General features: G+C 46.6%; 1 pseudogene across 1 annotated transcript in view; it reads left to right on the forward strand.

Moving 5' to 3' along the window:
- HYDIN2 (HYDIN axonemal central pair apparatus protein 2 (pseudogene)) overlaps positions 1–19,880 on the forward strand; it is a 335,703-nt pseudogene that overhangs the window by 277,480 nt on the left and 38,343 nt on the right. The window contains exons 44-47 of the transcript NR_103556.2: positions 9,720–9,903; positions 12,784–12,925; positions 15,431–15,593; positions 17,820–17,971. The product of NR_103556.2 is annotated as an HYDIN axonemal central pair apparatus protein 2 (pseudogene) (transcript). The remainder of the gene's footprint in view (positions 1–9,719; positions 9,904–12,783; positions 12,926–15,430; positions 15,594–17,819; positions 17,972–19,880) is intronic.

Genomic DNA, 19,880 nt, shown 5'->3' on the forward strand with positions numbered 1-19,880 from the left:
GCCAGAAAAGCCCAGAATGAGCCAGGAGGAATGTTTGCTGGACGAGGCAGGTTAGGACCATGGGGAACACCTACATTTCAGGAGGGGTCATGGGGAAGCCGGGAAGTAGAGACAGCAGAGCCAGGGCCACAGGGACTGTCAGAGAAGTCAAGGAAAGGGCCCCAGAGCCTTAGGAAAGGGAGAAGCGAGGAGGAGTTTCACGTCCCTCAGAGCCCTGCTGGACAGGGAGCCTTCCTGCTGGCCTAATCTCACAGCCCACTTGTCTAGCTAACCTAATACTGATCTACCTCCTTTATTGTCTGCCCCAACCCCATGTAAGCTCTGGAGGCAGGGGCTTGTGTTAATTTTCCCCACTGTAGTCCCAGCACCTGGAAGAATGCCTGGCATAGTTGACACATAATAAAGATTCATAAAGGATTCATTGAATCAAGAAATGAACAGAATTAGAGACTGCCAGAAGCCCAAATAGAATGAGCCCTGAGTAGAAGGTGGCTGAATTTCCCAGTTGGGAGGTCCCTGGGGTCTTTGGATAGAGCCTTTGCAATGGAGGGGTTAGGCCCTCACATCTCTCCTGCATCTGTTGTCACTGTGGAGTTGGTAGGCTGGAATGAAGTGGTGGCAGTGAACCCGAACCTGCCTGTGCCATACAGTAGCCACTGGCCCTAGGGGCTGCTGAGCACATGAACCCAGCTGGTCCAAACAGAGGTGTGCGGTGAATGTACAGCACCCATGGGAACCCTGAAGATGTGATATAAAGAAAAGACTTGGAAATAACACAGTAGCAATTTTTATACATTACATGTTAAAATGATCACATTTTGTGTATATTGGGTTAAAATATGTCCCTAAAATTAATTTTTACCTTTTTAATGTGGCAACTAGAAATGTTTAAATTACATACATATGTGGTTCACATTATATGTCTATTGGACAGAACGGACTTCAGAGTGCCATCCCCACTGTCATTTTTTGTGATTCTAAGGTGACTTTTAATAAAAATTCACCCTCTCCTTATAGCCCAGGAGGCAGCTGTGGGTCAAAACGTCATAGGGCAAGGACGACTGAGCACTGACACTTTGGGCAAGTTAGCCTCCGAGATGACTCTGGTGGCCCCAGAAATTAAACCTGGAAAGAGTGTTCGTGGGAGCGTGGTGATCACCAAAAGCAAGGCAGACAGCCATGGCTCCGGGTCACAGAAGCAGCATCACTCACACCAGTCTGAAACACCACAGGTACAAATCAGGGCTCTACCGCAGAAGGGCTGGGATCTTCCTCCTCCCCAGCATCCTGCAGCCAGATCAGTGCTCTTCATCCCTGCAGTGTTCTCGCCAGGCCAGCCTGAGCACTGTCCCTGCGCCCCTCCTTCTGAAAGGGGCATTCACCCAGCTGGTGCTCAGCAAGCATCTTTTATGCTGTAGGCACTGGCAAAGTGCAAATAAAGAAAGCAGAATCCCTGCACTAAGAGTCTGATGAAGGAGATAACCACATTTGCAAACATTTGCAATAAAGTGAAATTAGTTACAAAAGAAGTGTGAAAAGGGAATTAGGCTGAGCCACAGAAAATTGCCAAAATTCAATCCTTTTAGAACTCCATAACAGCAATTTCCTATGGCTCAACCTAAATTCTAAAGGAAGTTAAGGATGAAACCATTAATCTAAGTTGTGGGAGGGCTGCAGGGGGAGTCCTGGAACGTCAGAAAGAAGTTGCAGCATTTGAGCAATGCGCCAAGGAACTTAGCAGTCTCAGCCAACTGGCCGGTGCTGCTGAAGCCAGAGACAGTGGGTGCAGTGAGTAGTGAGTTGTAGGTGGAGAAGTGAAATCAAGTGAGTGTAGGCTTTTATGATGTTTGAAAGTGAAGGGAAAAAAATGAGAGAGTAGTAGAGGGGCAAAGCCAGGGTCAGGAGAGTCCATTCTCAGAAAAGAAGTAGAAGCAGGTCTATAAAGAATGGAACCCCTGGAGAAGTGTCATGTGGCGATCCACTCAAGAGGGAATGAGATCTTGGGAGGTAGTAGGAAGGGCAGAATTCAGCACAATTAAAGGAGAAGAGAACCGGCTTCCTTTGGGGTCAGTAAAGGTAAAAAACAGACACAGCTAAGGGTGGGAGAAGCCAAGTGGAGAATGGAGGTTGGAGAAGGCCTTGTTGAATGGTGCTGTAATGCATGTAGGAGGCATGGTCTTTTGAGGGAAGCAACGAGGAGGCTGGGGCTGCAGAGCATGCTCGAGGGGAGTGGCAGAGCACTGCTTCCACTATGGTGTATAGAAGCAGAAATTGGTGATGGACAAGGAATAAATAGTTGGGAATGATCATGGCCCAACCAAGACTGGAAACTACAACTTCATAGTTGTGAAGTTTCTCTCTCTCTCCCTCTCTCTCTCTCTCTCTCTGTCTCTTTTCCCTAGAGTCAGGGTCTCACTGTGTCACCCAGGCTGGAGTGCAGTGGCACAGTCTTTGTTCACTACGGCCTTGAGCTCCTGGGCTCAAGCAATCCTTCCACCCCAGCCTCCCAAGTAGCTGGGACTACAGGTATGTCCCACCATGCCTGGCTAATTTTTTTAATTTTTGTAGGGATGGGATCTCGCTGTGTTGCCCAGGCTGGTCTTGAACTCTTGGCCTCAAGCGATCCTCCTGGCTCTGCCTCTGCCTCCCAAAGCACTAGGATTACAGGCATGAACCACCACACCTGGCAAGATTTCTCTAAGTGGAACTGGCGGCTCCCATTCAGGAGTGGAGAGAGAAGAATGTCATCATTGAGGAGAGGGGGTGTGCTCTTATAACGAGGGGCAAGAGAGCTGAGGGTGCCATCAGTATGGGAAGCCCAGCCTCAGTAGAGAAGGAATTAAGAAGAGAACGTAGAATGGGAGAAGCAGGAAGGGTTAAGGGTGGATCTCGTTATAGCCTGAGAGTGCTATAGGGACAGTGGGGGAGGTGGATGGAGCAGAAGTGAAAGTACTGGTAGGAGAGGAGGCCCATCCACTGGGAAGAGCAGATGGATGGAGAAGAGTTGTAGGTCTTCATGGGAAATGAGACCTGTGTATTGGATAGAGCAGGTGGGTGGAATAAAGATGTAGGTCCTTAGGCCGGGTGCAGTGGCTTACACCTGTAATCCCAGCACTTCGGGAGGCTGAGGTGGGTGGATCACTTTAGGCCAGGAGTTCAAGGCCAGCCTGGCCAACGTGATGAAACCCCATCTCTACTAAAAATAAAAAATAAAAAAATTAGCTGGGCTTAGTGGTGCACACCTGTAATCCCAGCTTCTCAAGAGGATGAAGCACGAGAATCACTTGAACCCAGAAGGTGGAGGTTGCAGTGAGCCAAGATGGCACCACTGCACTCCAGCCTAGGCAACAGAGTAAGACTCCATCTCAAAAAAAGTACATAAAAAATAAAATTAATGATGTAGGTTCTTGTAGGAGAGGAGGCCCACATGTTAGATCAGGTAAGAGGATGGAGCAGAGGCAAAGGTCTTCAAGGGAGAGGAGACCTGCAGGTTGGATGGAACAGCCCACAGGGCTGAACTTGTGCCAGGTGATATCTGATTGTCACTTCAGTCTTACGTTCTTCTGACACCGTGAAAACAGAAACCATTGATTCATTTTCTTCTGGAGCACTATCCTTTTCACCCTCTTTTCCAGGATCCAGTATGGTGTTCTTTACCCAAACGTTTATGGATGAACTAAAACTTATTTCTCTGTTACCATATAGGGTGTTATCAAAACTCATTTCCTTGGGTTTTGTTCTGTCCATCTGGACAGGGAAATAAAGCTTTTTAGAATTCTTCAAAGGCAGAACATCCCAATTCTGACTCCAAACTCCTTTCAGTAAGGTAACCTAAAGATCACAGTAGAAATCAGAGCTCATAGACCCCATATGTGGCTGCCTGCACTGCCCCAGTGTGACAAGACTCAAATGATCTGGACAACAGTGTCCCCCTGTGAAAGCACTTACCCAGGGAGATGGCGATTGGTCTTCTTGAAGCTCTCATAAAGCATGAGTTTTCCAATGACTGATATTTCAGTCATGTTGCAAATGGGAAAAAATGTGTAAGTATATTACATAATGAAGATGTGGCCCATAAGCTCATTTATTTATGAATCACCTCTATCCAGGAAAGCACCAGTTAGAAATCCTGATCTTTTGGGTTTTTTTGTTTTTGTTTTTGTTTTTTTTATTATTATACTTTAAGTTTTAGGGTACATGTGCACAATGTGCAGGTTAGTTACATATGTATACATGTGACATGCTGGTGTGCTGCACCCACTAACTCGTCATCTAACATTAGGTATATCTCCCAGTGCTATCCCTCCCCCCTCCCCCCACCCCACAACAGTCCCCAGAGTGTGATGTTCCCCTTCCTGTGTCCATGTGTTTTCATTGTTCAATTCCCACCTATGAGTGAGAATATGCGGTGTTTGTTTTTTTGTTCTTGCGATAGTTTACTGAGAATGATGATTTCCAATTTCATCCATGTCCCTACAAAGGACATGAACTCATCATTTTTTTGGCTGCATAGTATTCCATGGTGTATATGTGCCACATTTTCTTAATCCAGTCTATCATTGTTGGACATTTGGGTTGGTTCCAAGTCTTTGCTATTGTGAGTAGTGCCGCAATAAACATACATGTGCATGTGTCGTTATAGCAGCATGATTTATAGTCCTTTGGGTATATACCCAGTAATGGGATGGCTGGGTCAAATGGTATTTCTAGTTCTAGATCCCTGAGGAATCGCCACACTGACTTCCACAATGGTTGAACTAGTTTACAGTCCCACCAACAGTGTAAAAGTGTTCCTATTTCTCCACATCCTCTCCAGCACCTGTTGTTTCCTGACTTTTTAATGATTGCCATTCTAACTGGTGTGAGATGATATCTCACTGTGGTTTTGATTTGCATTTCTCTGATGGCCAGTGATGGTGAGCATTTTTTCATGTGTTTTTTGGCTGCATAAATGTCTTCTTTTGAGAAGTGTCTGTTCATGTCCTTCACCCACTTTTTGATGGGGTTGTTTGTTTTTTTCTTGTAAATTTGTTTGAGTTCATTGTAGATTCTGAATATTAGCCCTTTGTCAGATGAGTAGGTTGCAAAAATTTTCTCCCATTTTGTAGGTTGCCTGTTCACTCTGATGGTAGTTTCTTTTGCTGTGCAGAAGCTCTTTAGTTTAATTAGATCCCATTTGTCAATTTTGGCTTTTGTTGCCATTGCTTTTGGTGTTTTAGATATGAAGTCCTTGCCCATGCCTATGTCCTGAATGGTAATGCCTAGGTTTTTTTCTAGGGTTGTTATGGTTTTAGGTCTAACATTGAAGTCTTTAATCCATCTTGAATTGATTTTTGTATAAGGTGTAAGGAAGGGATCCAGTTTCAGCTTTCTACATATGGCTAGCCAGTTTTCCCAGCACCATTTATTAAATAGGGAATCCTTTCCCCATTGCTTGTTTTTCTCAGGTTTGTCAAAGATCAGATAGTTGTAGATACGCGGTGTTATTTCTGAGGGCTCTGTTCTGTTCCATTGATCTATATCTCTGTTTTGGTACCAGTACCATGCTGTTTTGGTTACTGTAGCCTTGTAGTATAGTTTGAAGTCGGGTAGCATGATGCCTCCAGCTTTGTTCTTTTGGCTTAGGATTGACTTGGCGATGCGGGCTCTTTTTTGGTTCCATATGAACTTTAAAGTAGTTTTTTCCAATTCTGTGAAGAAAGTCATTGGTAGCTTGATGGGGATGGCATTGAATCTATAAATTACCTTGGGCAGTATGGCCATTTTCACGATATTGATTCTTCCTACCCATGAGCATGGAATGTTCTTCCATTTGTTTGTATCCTCTTTAATTTCCTTGAGCAGTGGTTTGTAGTTCTCCTTGAAGAGGTCCTTCACATCCCTTGTAAGGTGGATTCCTAGGTATTTTATTCTCTTTGAAGCAATTGTGAATGGGAGTTCCCTCATGGTTTGGCTCTCTGTTTGTCTGTTATTGGTGTATAAGAATGCTACCAGAGGTACAAAGAGGAACTGGTACCATTCCTTCTGAAACTATTCCAATCAATAGAAAAAGAGGGAATCCTCCCTAACTCATTTTATGAGGCCAGCATCATCCTGATACCAAAGCCGGGCAGAGACACAACCAAAAAAGAGAATTTTAGACCAATATCCTTGATGAACATTGATGCAAAAATCCTCAGTAAAATACTGGCAAACCGAATCCAGCAGCACATCAAAAAGCTTATCCACCATGATCAAGTGGGCTTCATCCCTGGGATGCAAGGCTGGTTCAATATACGCAAATCAGTAAATGTAATACAGCATATAAACAGAACCAAAGACAAAAACCACATGATTATCTCAATAGATGCAGAAAAGGCCTTTGACAAAATTCAACAACGCTTCATGCTAAAAACTCTCAATAAATTAGGTATTGATGGGACGTATCTCAAAATAATAAGAGCTATCTACGACAAACCCACAGCCAATATCATACTGAATGGGCAAAAACTGGAAGCATTCCCTTTGAAAACTGGCACAAGACAGGGATGCCCTCTCTCACCACTCCTATTCAACATAGTGTTGGAAGTTCTGGCCAGGGCAATTAGGCAGGAGAAGGAAATAAAGGGTATTCAATTGGGAAAAGAGGAAGTCAAATTGTCCCTGTTTGTAGACGACATGATTGTATATCTAGAAAACCCCACTGTCTCAGCCCAAAATCTCCTTAAGCTGATAAGCAACTTCAGCAAAGTCTCAGGATACAAAATCAATGTACAAAAATCACAATCCTGATCTTTTGAGTGATATTTAATCCAACACTCTTGCTTCTCAATTTCATGGCCTCCTCAGCTACTTACCTCCCTGACCACATCCTAGACATTGTTCACCACTACCCATAAACTCCAAGATCTCTCTATCACAATCCTGCTTTCCCACAGCCATCTTCTCACTTTACAGATGACTAACTCTGGTAAGCACCTGGCCCCATCGAAACCTCCAGTCCTCATCCTCACTACCTAGCACCCACCTCGTGCCCTCCCTATCCAGTCTGGATGCCATGGTCTGCCACCATAGCACCCCCTTGCAACTTGCCCTTCACCACACTCTCAAGCAAAGCTTCAACCCTGGCAAACCTAATCCTCCACCTACTCCATGCAGACCAGCTGAGCATAGCTGGGGAAGACTCTCACCTCTCCTGAAGGATCTTAATTTAAATTTAAGACCACAGGTCTCCAATGGGCCCTTTGGTCTGGCTCAGCTCTGCATCTATTCAAGATGACTGCTTTATTGCTCTCATCACTCTCCTAGCCTCCAAAATATTTTCCTCTTCCTCATTCTCAGCCGATGATCTCTATTCTGATTTCACCAAGAAAGCTGCAGCAATCAGAAGACAATGACCTCATCTTCCGGCCACCAAGTCTTCCAGCAGCCTCCATCCACACACAGGGCTGTGCCTTCTCGACAGCTGAGTGTCTGCCCTGCCTTCACCCAGGGCTGATCCCTGCACATGGGCACCCAGCCCCACCCCTTCTCTTATCCAATGGCTAAATTCCTGCAGTTGTCCCCTCTCTCCCACTTTCCCCCTACTCTACTTCTGTCAGCATCTATGCATGCTGTATTATTATTCGCATCATTAAAAATGCTTTCCCGTGACCCCACATCCCAGTGTCGGAGGCGAGACCGGGCTGATGAGCTGTGTGCTCCCGGATGAACTTCTCGTGCAGATCCTGGCAGAGCGGATACAGGTGGGTCCATGCCACCTGCGCAGAGCTGCAGGGCTTGGCATTCACGCACCATCCCCACACCCTGGACGGAGGTTCTGGGCCATCAGCCACCCACGGCAGCTCGGCAGCCCGGAGGGCAGTCATTTGCTTGTCTTTTTGACAGCTCTTGTCAACCCCCGACGCTGGCCCAGTCTACAGCCTGAAGCCATTCACCTTCTTAAAGGACCAGAGAGCAGAAGACTACACAAAAGTTTTTTTAATGACCAGAAAGAGAGTGATGTGTTAAAAATTACAATGTGGAGCCATTCTAAAAGTTAGAATTTGGAGCTATGTTAATTGCTTCAAAAACACATTTTCAATGTTATTAAGTGAAAAAGAAGTAACTAGGAAATACTGGTTAAAACATAATAACATTCTATATAAATATTTAGAAATGTATACTACACACGTAGTAAAAACTTTTAAAATACATGTTAACCATTGTTATCTTTGGGTAGCAGGATTATAGAATTTTAGTCTTCTTTATACATTTCTGAATTATTTTACAATGACATATTGCTTTTAAAGTCAGAAAAACAGTAACGCTCTTTCTAATTTTTAATTTTTTTTCCATAAGAATTCTACAGTTAAAGACAAGAAAATAAGATCAGCAGGATTGAGGAGGGTATCACTTAAGCCTGTTTCTGCTCATGGTTTGCAGACACAGCTACATTGCTTACCAGGTCCTGGAGCTGGGTGTTTGCTTTGTGTTTTCAACTAGGGCCACAATATTAATTGCAGATTTAAATACAACAAAATTAACTTGACGTTCCCAGAAGAGGAGGAATATCATCACAAGAAAGTTTTTATGTTAAGATTTGCACTGCTACTACATTAAAGGTACATCACTTTCAACTGATTTGAACAAGGTGTTCCCATAAGTGTGCCAATGTTTTAGATACCCAGAGTAAAGGCTGAGAAACACTGGTAAGGCCCCGAAGTAAGCCAGTGGAGCTGTGCTACTCAAAATGCTGGTCTCTGATGACACGTGGAGCTTACAGGGCTTCTTTCATCAACAAAGTCTTGCTACAAAGTTTAGCTGCAGAGAAGGAATGATGTGGCCACGGTACCTGTTCAGTTGCCAGCTGAACCAAATAGTGTGTTTAGTGATACAGGTCATTTACATTCTGACACAAGCTTCTTGTCTCATCAAAAACCTAACGCTCATTCACTGGTGGCCAGTCTATGGGCTATACTTTGAGTAACACTGAGTAAGGCAGAGGCTGTTCTTCAATGGTTACTGTTACCAAAATCATTACGCTCCAAGGCAGTAAGACTAATAAGAAAAATACGAAAGGCCCAGCTGCTCCCCCTGCTGCTTGTGACTCTGTGCTTGGGAGCATCTTTCCCTTTCCATCTCATTTTTGTGTACCTCATGGATCTTCCCAGATCGGCCCTTTAACATTTTTGTTTGTTCATTTATTTCTACAGACAGAATAAACCCTTATTATTGTAATAAAGACCATCTGGCTGGGCGCAGTGTCTCATGCCTGTAATTCCAGCACTTTGGGAGGCCGAGGCAGGTGGATCACCTGAGGTCAGGAGTTCGAGACTAATCTGGTCAACATGGTGAAACCCTGTCTCTACTAAAAATACAAAAATTAGCCGGGCCTGGTGGTGGGCACCTGTAATCCCAGCTACTTGGGAGGCTGAGGCAGGAGAATCACCTGAACCTGGGAGACAGAGGTTGCAGTGAGCCGAGATTGCACCACTGCACTCCAGCCTGGGCGCTGGAGTGACCGAGGGAGACTCTGTCTCAAAAAAAAAAAAAAAAAAAAAAAAAAAGACGGGCTGATTAAACATTTTTATTCTTTTCTTTTATTTTATGACAGCACCTTGGATTTAGCAAGCAGAAAGGCATGGTGTTTGCATTGGGGCCCAGTAGGTCTGCAGAACCCTTTGCAGCCCCAGTAAAAGCATAAACAGAACAAATGAGGTTGTGGCCATAGTAACTGTCTTTGCTCTCTCTGGTTTCAGCTGAGTGACTGCTACCGAGGAGTGGTGTTTGATGGCCTCGACACTCTCTTTGCTCGGAATGCTGCAGCCGCCCTCCTCTGCCTGCTGAAGGCCATTGGCAGCCGGGAGCATATATACATTCTCAACATGGCCCAGGATTACGCAGCCATGAAGGCCCGGGAGAAAGCCAAAAAGGAGCAAGAAGGCAAGGCCTCCTACCTTTCCATTGGGCTTAAGTGAAACTTTGACATTTGCTATTCCGTTGGCGCCTCACCTCTGCCCTGTAAGGTGGCCAGGAGTTGTATTTCTGCTTTGCTAGGAGGGAACTGGGACGCGAGTGGCTGGCTGGGAAGTTCTATGATGAACGCTTTGCTGACAGCAGGTGCATTCCTGCTTCCCTCCCATCACACTGTACCCCTCCATCCTTTCTGCAATTACAGCCATTTTGGGTCCCATCCTGACTCAGGCAACTGATTTCCTTGTTGGTTTTGTTTAAGCCAACTGTGCATTTCTCATAAAACTCACGGTGCTAATACATTTTCCAAAACATTTACACCTTAGCCTGCTGCACACCAGGCACCGTAGCAGATATTTTGTATACTTTGGGACATTTAATCCTCACAATTACCCTGTGAATCTTGTCCCCATTTTACACTAAAGGAGAATGTAGCTCAGAGATAGCAAAAGTCTTGTGCCAAATCACATTGCCAATTAGTAGGAGAACCGGGTGCATGTAATTCTAAACCCTTTGCTTTTCCTATCCTTATGCCAATGGCCTGAGAAAAATTTTAATAACTGAAAGGTTTGATTGAAAGATAGGTACACACACACACAAGTAATGTTAGCTTAAGTTCCCAATGTAGTCAGAAGCAGCCCCAGCAAATCTTGGCCCCCCAGGGCAGGGGTTGAAGGACAGAGGCTGGTGGCGCTGTCCACGGGAGTCAGAGCCCCACCTCCCAGGAGCTTCGGCTCCAGCCACACGACTGCCCTTCCTCACTCCGGCTTACCGCTCCCTTCTAACACTATCTACTCAAATCATAATGCTTTTCCAATTAAGGAAATACTTACAAACACTGGGCTGTCGAAGTCCTTGAACAGAACTCAAAGTCAGCTTCTTTATAGTCTCATCCTGAGAAAAATCTGGAGCAGTGACCAGGCATCCCTCAGCAGTCATCCAGCCTCCAGCTGCCTGGTTTTCCAGAAAGCTCATTTCTCCATACTGATCCACTTGAAAATAATTACCACTTCTCCTTTTCCCACTTATCTTCAGAATGAAATTTCTCCCAGTTAAACTGTGGGCTCCTCTCCCCTAAATCATCTAAATTGAAATGTCCTAAGATGGTATACGGTCAAACTATTATTACACTAAAATCTCATGTTTGTCGAACATCTATGAACATGCCAGGCACTGGGGAAAGCACTTTACATGATCGCTTATTTAATCTCTACAACGGCCGTATGTTTTTATTCTTATCTGTGATTATCTCTTGATAAGTGGCCGGGAAGGAGCTCAAATGCAGGTGTCTGAGTCCACAGCTCAAACTTGCGAGGATGACGGTGAGAATGCTGTGCTAGGGAGGTGTGAGGAAGGAGCTGGTGCCTTTGTCCTAAGTGTGAATCACATGCCTAGACCTGGAATCCGTAGGGCAGGGCAGGGAATTTCCCTTGGTGTGCAAATGGCCCTGTCACCATGAACCCGTTAGTGGCATATGCTCATAATGAGTCAAGTCAGTGGGTGGTATATGAGTCTTCTATCATTGCTGTGACAAATGACCACTGTCTTAGTCTTTTCAGACTGCCATAACAAAATTCCATAGATTGGGTCGCTTATCAGCAACAGACATTTATTTCTCACAGTTCTGGAGGCTGGCAAGTCCAAGATCAAGGTGCCAACAGAAACAGTGTCACCTTCTGGTCACAGAAAGCATCTTCTCACTAAGTCCTGAAACAAGCTCCCTCAGGCCTCTTATAAGGACACTAATCCCAGCCATGAGGACTCTATCCTTGTGACCTAGTCACCTCCCTAAGGCCCTTCTTAATACCATCCCCTTGGGGAATTCAGTTTCAACATAGGAATTTCGAGGGGGCACAAACATTTACACCATAGCAACCACAAACTTGGTTACTTAACACAACATAGAAATGTATTGTCTTACACTTCCGGGGTCAGAAGTCCTAACATCTTTCCCTGCCACTTATTAAGGGATAATCACAGATAAGAATGATAACTCCTCCCTCCTAGGGCTGTTGTGGAGATTAAATAAGCAATCATGTAAAGTGCCTTCCCCAGTGCCTGGCATGTTCATACATGTTAACAAACATGAGATTTTAATGTAATAGTAGTATGACAGTATGCTACCTTAGGACATTTCAAATGCAGATGATTTAGGGGAGAAGAGCCCACAATTTAACCAGGAGAAATTTCATTCCAAAGATAACGGGGAAAATGAGAAGTGGTAATTATTTTCAAGTGGATCATTATGGAGAAATGAACTTTCTGGAAAACGAGGCAGCTGGAGGCTTGATGACTGCTGAGGGATGCCTGGTCATTGCTCCAGACTTTTCTCAGCAGGGCCACGTTCCTTTTTTGGCTGTTAGGTAGCCCCTTTTTCTTGTCTTTTCTGGCTTCTAGAGGCCTTCTGCACTCCTTGGCTCCTGGCCCCTTCCTTGCAGCCCTCTGACCCCTGCTCCTACTATCACATCATCACTATCTCTGACTGACTCTCCTGCATCCCTCGAAAGGACCCTTATAATTAGACTGGGCCCCCCAAAATAATCTGCCCACCTCAAGATCCTTAAATTTAATCACATCTGCAGAGTCCCTCTGCTATGGAAGACAACACGGTCACAGGTTCTGAGTAATCTGATATGGGCATCTTTGGGGGCCACTGTTCAGCCACCTGCAGACAGAGCCCAAATGTGGAAGTGCATGGATGAAGGGACCCCCCCACCCCTGCAACCAGGGATGAGGCAGACCAGGCGCCGCACCAGCTGCCCCACACTAAGACCCTACTCCGCCTGCTTAGGCTGCTAGCGAGACTGGGAAGGACTTTTCCTCACCTTCCCGTCTCTGTTCCCCTCACAGAACGCAAGCACAAGGGAGCTCTTGAGAAAGAGAAGGAGGGTCTCCAAAACATGGATGAGGAAGAATATGATGCCCTGACTGAGGAGGAGAAACTCACATTCGATCGGGGGATTCAGCAGGCGCTCCGCGAGCGGAAGAAGAGGTCAGGGCCAAGGGCTGGCCAGAGCAGAAGCCATTCCCCCGGGACCGTCCCCACAGAGTGACCAGGACCGGGGTGTGAGCCCAAGCCATCTTCCAGGCAGGCAGCAGGAGCTGCAGAAGGCCCTGGAAGGTGACCTGCAAGGAGCAGAAAGATGCATCCCGCCCATCGAGGGTGCTGGCTGCTGCACCATTCAGGGTTTCTCCCACTCTCCTTATTTCTCACTGGCGGGCATTTGGGACCAGGCTGTAATGTCATGGGTGGCCCTGGGAGAGGGGCCACTGGCCTCTGTGCTGCCCTGGGGCCCCTGCTGGCCCCCCCGACCAGCACCCCCGCGTGTGGCTTATCAGCCTCTGTGCTCACTGCCTCGGTGCTTCAATGTCCACAGCTGGTGATACAGGGTCCACTCTATTGACCTGGGCATAGTGACTGCTCCCCAAATCTCAGCCCTTCCTCCCCCTGCCTGGGTCCCCTTCTTGGCCTTGGGTGGTGCTGCCCATCCCCTGAGGTCTAGCTGCCATGGGATCCTCAGCCTGGGCAGATCCTCAATCCTGGGACTGTGGGCAGACTCACAAGCCAGCACCCTCAGCCACTTTCTCTGCCCCTCACTGGGAACCACACAGAAACTACTCGATCCCCCAATGCCTCCTAGTGCCCAGGATACTTAGGACTGCCACCTCGGGCTATCTCAGAGGGATGGGAACAGTGGGACATGTGTCCTTTCTGCCCTCAGATCTTCAAAGATTGCAGGGATGGGGTGGGGGGCAGTGGTTCTATTTCCTACCTCCTCCCTGGGATTTCAGGCGCTGGAGGTACAGAGCCTAGATACTCACCTACTATTTACCCTGTTCTCTCCTCCAGCTCCACACTTCTCCCACTGACCTGAAACAGCTTTTGCCCTCCCTGCTGCTACAGTATGTCCTAATCTTTTTTTTTTTTTTTTTTTTTTTTTTTTTGAGACAGACTCTTGCTCTGTCATCCAGGCTGGAGTTCCTCCATCACGCCTTGAGTGGCACAATCTCAGTTCACTGCAACCTCCACCTCCTGGGTTCAAGCAATTCTCCTGCCTCACTCTCCCAAGTAGCTAGGATTACAGGCATGTACCACCATGCCCGGCCAATTTTTTTGTATTTTTAGTAGAGACGGGTTTTCATCATGTTGGCCAGGCTGATCTCGAACTGAACTCCTGGGATCAAGTGATCTGCCTGCCTCAGCCTCCCAGTGTGCTGAGATTACAGGCGTGAGCCACAGCGCCCAGCTGGGTGTGCCCTGATCTTTCTGTGGCATGGTCCACTATAGAAATGCCCAGTCCTCCAGAGTTACAGAAAGCCTTGCTTTGAGATTTTAGAGGAAACTCGTTTTTCACCAGGGCTGTTGCTTTCAGGCATTCATCTCATGGTGGACTTGGAAAATGCAAATTTGATTCTCAAAGTGCAGCAACAACTTGTTTGTGTCACACCACACACGCACACACACACACACACGCACACACACACACCATGAAGTAAATGAGTTTGCTTCAGTGGGCAGAGAGCCATGGCAACCGGAAACAATTAGGAATTCCTGGATGAAAATAGCTGGGTTAACTATTTTCAGAAGTACCATTCCCTCACTTGTTTGTGCTTGGTGCTTGGCTTTGGTCCACTCTCTGCTGTCAGCAGCAGGGGCAGGAGCAGTTGAATGACAGCGGAAAGGGAAAGAGAGGGTGGAGGAGGGGAACACGGCTTTCAGACTGAGCACCATGGCTCTGAGCTAGCCACCATAGAAACTGCTTTGAAAATACCGTTTCTGGCTGGGCGCAGTGGCTCATGCCTGTAATACTAGCACTTTGGGAGGTCAAGGTAGGAGGATCACCTGAGGTCATGAGTTCGAGACCAGCCTGGCCAACATGGCGAAACCCCGTCTCTACTAAAAATACAAGTTAGCCGGGCATGTTGGTGCACACCTGTAATCCTAGCTACTCAGGAGGCTTAGGCAGGAGAACTGCTTGAACCCGGGAGGTGGAGGTTGCAGTGAGCTGATCACACCACTGCACTCCAGCCTGGGTGACAGAGCGAGACTCTGTCAAAAAAAAAAAAAAAATTCTTATTTTCTGAACAGCAAACATGCTCAGCTATGGGAGGCGGGCCTCATCTGCACTAATACCAGAACAATCTTTGAAAGTTGCTTTTTTTAAGTGCTAATATCAAGCTTATTTTCAGCCTTTTTCTCACTCTCCCATGAGAGGAGATTGGACTCAAAATACAGATTAATGGAGAATTCCTCCTAGTTGAGTTTCAATAAATCAGAGTCTTGATGAATGACCATTCAAACATAGATGGTAGTCATTTTTTCTTTCTTTCCTTCTCTTCCTTTCTCCTTTCCTTCCACATATCCAGCTTACTTTGTTCTTTCTTTTTATGCCCAAGAAAGCTCTGCCCAATGTCCCTCCACCTGGAAATCCCAGGCAGCAGAGGGGTGAGGCATGGGGGCCCCTGAACTGTTTTTTCTCTGCCTGGTTTGATGAAGGGAGCAGGAGAGGCTGGCAAAGGAAATGCAAGAAAAGAAGCTACAGCAGGAGCTGGAGCGACAAAAGGAAGAGGATGAGCTGAAACGGAGGGTCAAAAAAGGAAAGCAGGGACCCATTAAGGAGGAGCCCCCCATGAAGAAATCTCAAGCAGCAAACAAGCAGGTAACAGCCTCACTTACTCCTTGCCAGGAGACAGAAGCAGAGGGCAGCCTGGTGCATTCCCCTTCCAGGAAATTAGCCTGATCATGTTGGGATTTTGTGGTGGGGCAGAAGGCAGGAGGAAAGGGACCAACGTTTGTTGAATGTTGATTGTATGTGAAGTGTTGTGCCTGTGTCATACATAATCCTCTCACCCTGTGAGGTTCAGAGATATGAAGATGCAGATCCAGGTCCTCACCCAGTTGGGTCTGGCCACAGCCCTTGCTCCTTCCACTGCCCCCTGCAGGGCCCAGGATGGTGCCAAATAGGCTACTATTAAAGATGTGTTCCCAGGAAGCCACAAAGCCAGTGAGCCCATGTGTCCAATCAGGAGCATACCCTTGGCAACCGTCAAGGAGATGCTTCGGCATGAGCCTATCCTCGCAGGCAAGTGCCAGTAGTTTATCAGCCTGCCAAGCACAGCAGTCACCTCCCTGCTCCCTGTGGCACTGGAAGGGCAGAGTGGCTAGAGGAGCCCCCAGAGTGATGATCCTGGCTGAAGGTTGTGACCAGCTGGTGTGGGCAGCCACGAGTCCTGAGGGTGAAGCTATAACCAGTCTCCAGACAGGGTACAGACTGGTCCAAGTAGGTGAGTGAAAGACAGTGACAGTGGGTGGGCAGAGAAATTAGTGTGCAGCGGTCTCAACCAGGGAGTGCTCAGGAAGGAGCAGGATCTAAGCATACAGAACTAGGCACAGATTTGGGATGCCTGATACTGACCTGAAGGAAATCTATGACATCTCAGGCTGAGAACAAAAGGGGGTCCCTAAGAAAAAATTACCAGGACTGATCCCTGCCTCTCCCCGGTGATTTTGTACATGAAGCCAGCAGGGAGAATTTGTGTACCTGTGTGTTTCAGCCATTATTTTTGCCATTAAACAAAGTCAATTTCTTATGTGGCATAAGTTCAGGATAATCTATGCAGAAGTTATCTACCAAGCTTGCTTTTAAAAGACAACATTTCATTCATCATTAAAAGAAAGACTATTTGCAGCACAATTAACCTCAAATTATACCCACTGACTCCATCATTGGTGTCTCCATCTGGAATCTGTTTTAAGTAGGAGCATGTGGATTTTCCTATTTTAGTGTCAGTTCAAGTTGCTGTCACCTGACCACCCACCCCCAGCCCCCGACCCCAGACCCCACTACCAGATTCAGGGCAGGTACTTTTGTATGTGCTCTGTTGACCTTGGATGGAGGTGATAAGGACCTTATGACAGTCATCCATTTGGAGACAGGCTTGTGTATCACTTGAGCTTAGTACAAAACACAATCAATCATGTTCCCTAGGGGGACTTCTTGAGACTCTTGGACTAATGCGGTTGCCTGGTCTGAAAACACTTAAGCTGAAGAAAAACTTCTGAGACTAGATGCATTCTCAGGAAGTGAAAGAAAATTCCAGGGGGAGTGCCAAGGTGAAAGGGAATGACTAAAGACCTTCCTGCTTCCTCATCAAAAGGACTGCTCTATTTCTTGGACCGTCAGCACACCTGTTTTCCTCTCTGCTCTGGCTTCAGCTCTTCTCACAGGCTTTGAAGATGTTCTCAAGAATCACCCACCTTTAAAATGAAAAAAAAAAAAAGTTTTCTTCAACCCTGGTGCCCCCGACGAGCACCCCATTTCTCTCCTTCCCTTCATGCTTGTCTCCACTTGCTGGCTTTGCCTCGTCACCCCTCATTTCTGCCTCCCCGTTTCCTACCCTGATTCCTGTCTCCACCACTCCCTCGAATCCAAGGCTCCAGCCTCTCCATTTCCAGATCTAATGGGCATGGGTTAGGCCTTGACTTGCTTGACGTCCTCCTCCATGAGCTTCACACTGTGGATCGTACCCTCCTTGGATCGCTCTTGTTTCCTAGCATCCTGGTCCGCCCTTTCTGGCTTTCCTCCTTCTCCCTGGTTTCTTTCTGGACCCGCCTCCATCCATCCTTAGTCACTCTGCAGGTTTCCAGCGTCAGCCTTTGTCTCTTCCTGCTTGGTCTAAGGCTGACCCCCATCCCATGCATGACTTCAGTGCTACCTGATCATACATAATGGGTTGGAGGAAGAGAGGAGGGGAGTCAGGAAAAGCTTGCAAATTCCAAAACGAAGTGAAGGGCATTCCAGGCAGAGGGACAGCCCAAAAGAGGGAGGAGAGAAAGGCAGGAGCCACATGAAAAAGAGCTAAACCAATGTTTTAACAACTTATAGCTACTGTGTGCTGAATTCCTGCTATGTGACACTCCCTGCTGGGAACTGTGAATAGATCCCATCACCATCTATCTCCAGTCTCCACAACACCCGCTGAGGGAGATATGATCATCACCATCATTTTGGAGATGAGGAAGCTGGAATGCAGCACAGTTAAGTGATGCACCCAAGGTCACATGGCCAGAAGGCGGTGGGGGCAGGCCCAATTTGTCCAACTCCAAAGCAGGCACTCCTTTTCCTGGTTCTTGCACTGCCTCCCAAGCCCTTAGTCCATCCATGGCTCCTGACACTTCTTCAGGTTGTCCCTCGGACACTGGTAACTCAACACGGCCCACACCAAGCTCATCATCTATGCTGCCTTTCTTCCAGACCTCTTCCTGGCCCTATATTCCTCCCCAACCCTTCTTTCAGCTCCCAGGCCCAAATCCCAGAGTCACCCTGACCCTGTCACTTCTGCACCTTCACCCCAAGACCCACCAGGAGCCCTGTGAGGGAGTCCCCCTCCTAAATTGTTCTCAAGCCCGTCCCAGACTAGGGCTCTCCTTTCTTCCCCGTCCCCAGCTGTCTCACCCGTCTTTGCTGTGGTACTGTGTAGCTACATGGTAATTCCATCATCACACCCCCTGGTTTTCTGGTTCTGGAAACAGGATGGGGAAGAGGACACAGTTTGCAGAAACATAAAGTGTATTTTTCTGTTTTTCTTGCTTGTTGCCAAATTAGTTTAATATCCATGGAAGGAAATCATAGTGGAGAGACCAAAAGTGTCTCACTTAGAGCGGAATCTTTGTACATATCCATGCTTACTTCCTTAGGATACATTTCTAAACATGTCATTCCAGGGTTGAAAGGTGTGTATTTTACCCCTGACCTCACAGGCTATAGGTTTTAGCATTCCTTTTAATCCTTGCTGATTAGATTCGATGGGTGAACAACTGAATATTTTTATTGCTTGGATTTGCATTTCTTGAATTGTTAATTAGGTGAACCTTTAAAAAAAAACATGCTGGTTGGCCACTGAACTCCTCTTCAGGATTTTATTTAAACATCCCAGCAAGGCCTTCCCTGGCCACTCTATTTAAAATTGAATAAGACAAAAGCAAAAACAAAACAAACAAATGAAAACCAACAAAAAAAAACCCCACTTCTTAGCCCCTTCCCTGTCTTCTTAGCACTCATCACCATCTCACATACCATAGATTTTTATGTGATTTTGTCTGCCTACCTGCCCCTGCAAAATATAAGCCTCATGAAGGCTGAGGCTTTTGTCTGTTTTGATCACTTAATGAGTCTCCCACCTGGCAGAAAGGTGCTCAAAAATATTTGTTTTATGTGTGGGTATGTTTTTGTTTATTTTTTATTTCTTTATTTTTTGAGACAGAATCTTGCTCTGTCGTCTAAGCTGGAATGCAGTGGCTTGATCTCGGCTCACTGCAACCTCCGCTTCCCATGTTCAAGTGATTCTCCTGCCTCAGCGTCCCGGGTAGCTGGGATTACAGGCGCCCGCCACCACACTCGGCTAATTTTTATATTTTTAGTAGAGACAGGCTTTCACCATGTTGGCTAGGCTGGTCTCGAACTCCTGACCTCAGGTGATCCACCCACCTCAGCCTCCCAAAGTGCTGGGATTACAGGTGTGAGCCACTGCGCCTGGCCAATCACTTTTTTTTTTTATTTTGTGGATTGTTTTTACCTTTTTTTTTTTTTTTTTTTTTTTTGATACAAGTCTCGCTCTGTCGCCCAGGCTACAGTGCAGTGGTGGGATCTCGGCCGCAACCTCCACCTCCTGGGTTCAAGCGCTTCTCCTGTCTCAGCTTCCCAAGTAGCTGGGATTATAGGCACCCACCACCATGCCTGGCTAATTTTAGTATTTTTTGTAGAGACAGGATTTCACCATATTGGCCAGGCTGGTTTTGAACTCCTGACCTCAAGTGATCCATCCACCTTGGCCTCCCAAAGTGCTGGGATTACAGGCATGAGCCACCACACCCAGCCTGTTTTTACCTTTCTAATCGGAAGATTTCCTTCCATCTAATAGCCTACTGCTCTTTAAATGTTTATCCT

This window comes from Homo sapiens, chromosome 1 (assembly GCF_000001405.40).
Source record: "Homo sapiens chromosome 1, GRCh38.p14 Primary Assembly".
Lineage (NCBI taxonomy): Eukaryota > Metazoa > Chordata > Mammalia > Primates > Hominidae > Homo > Homo sapiens.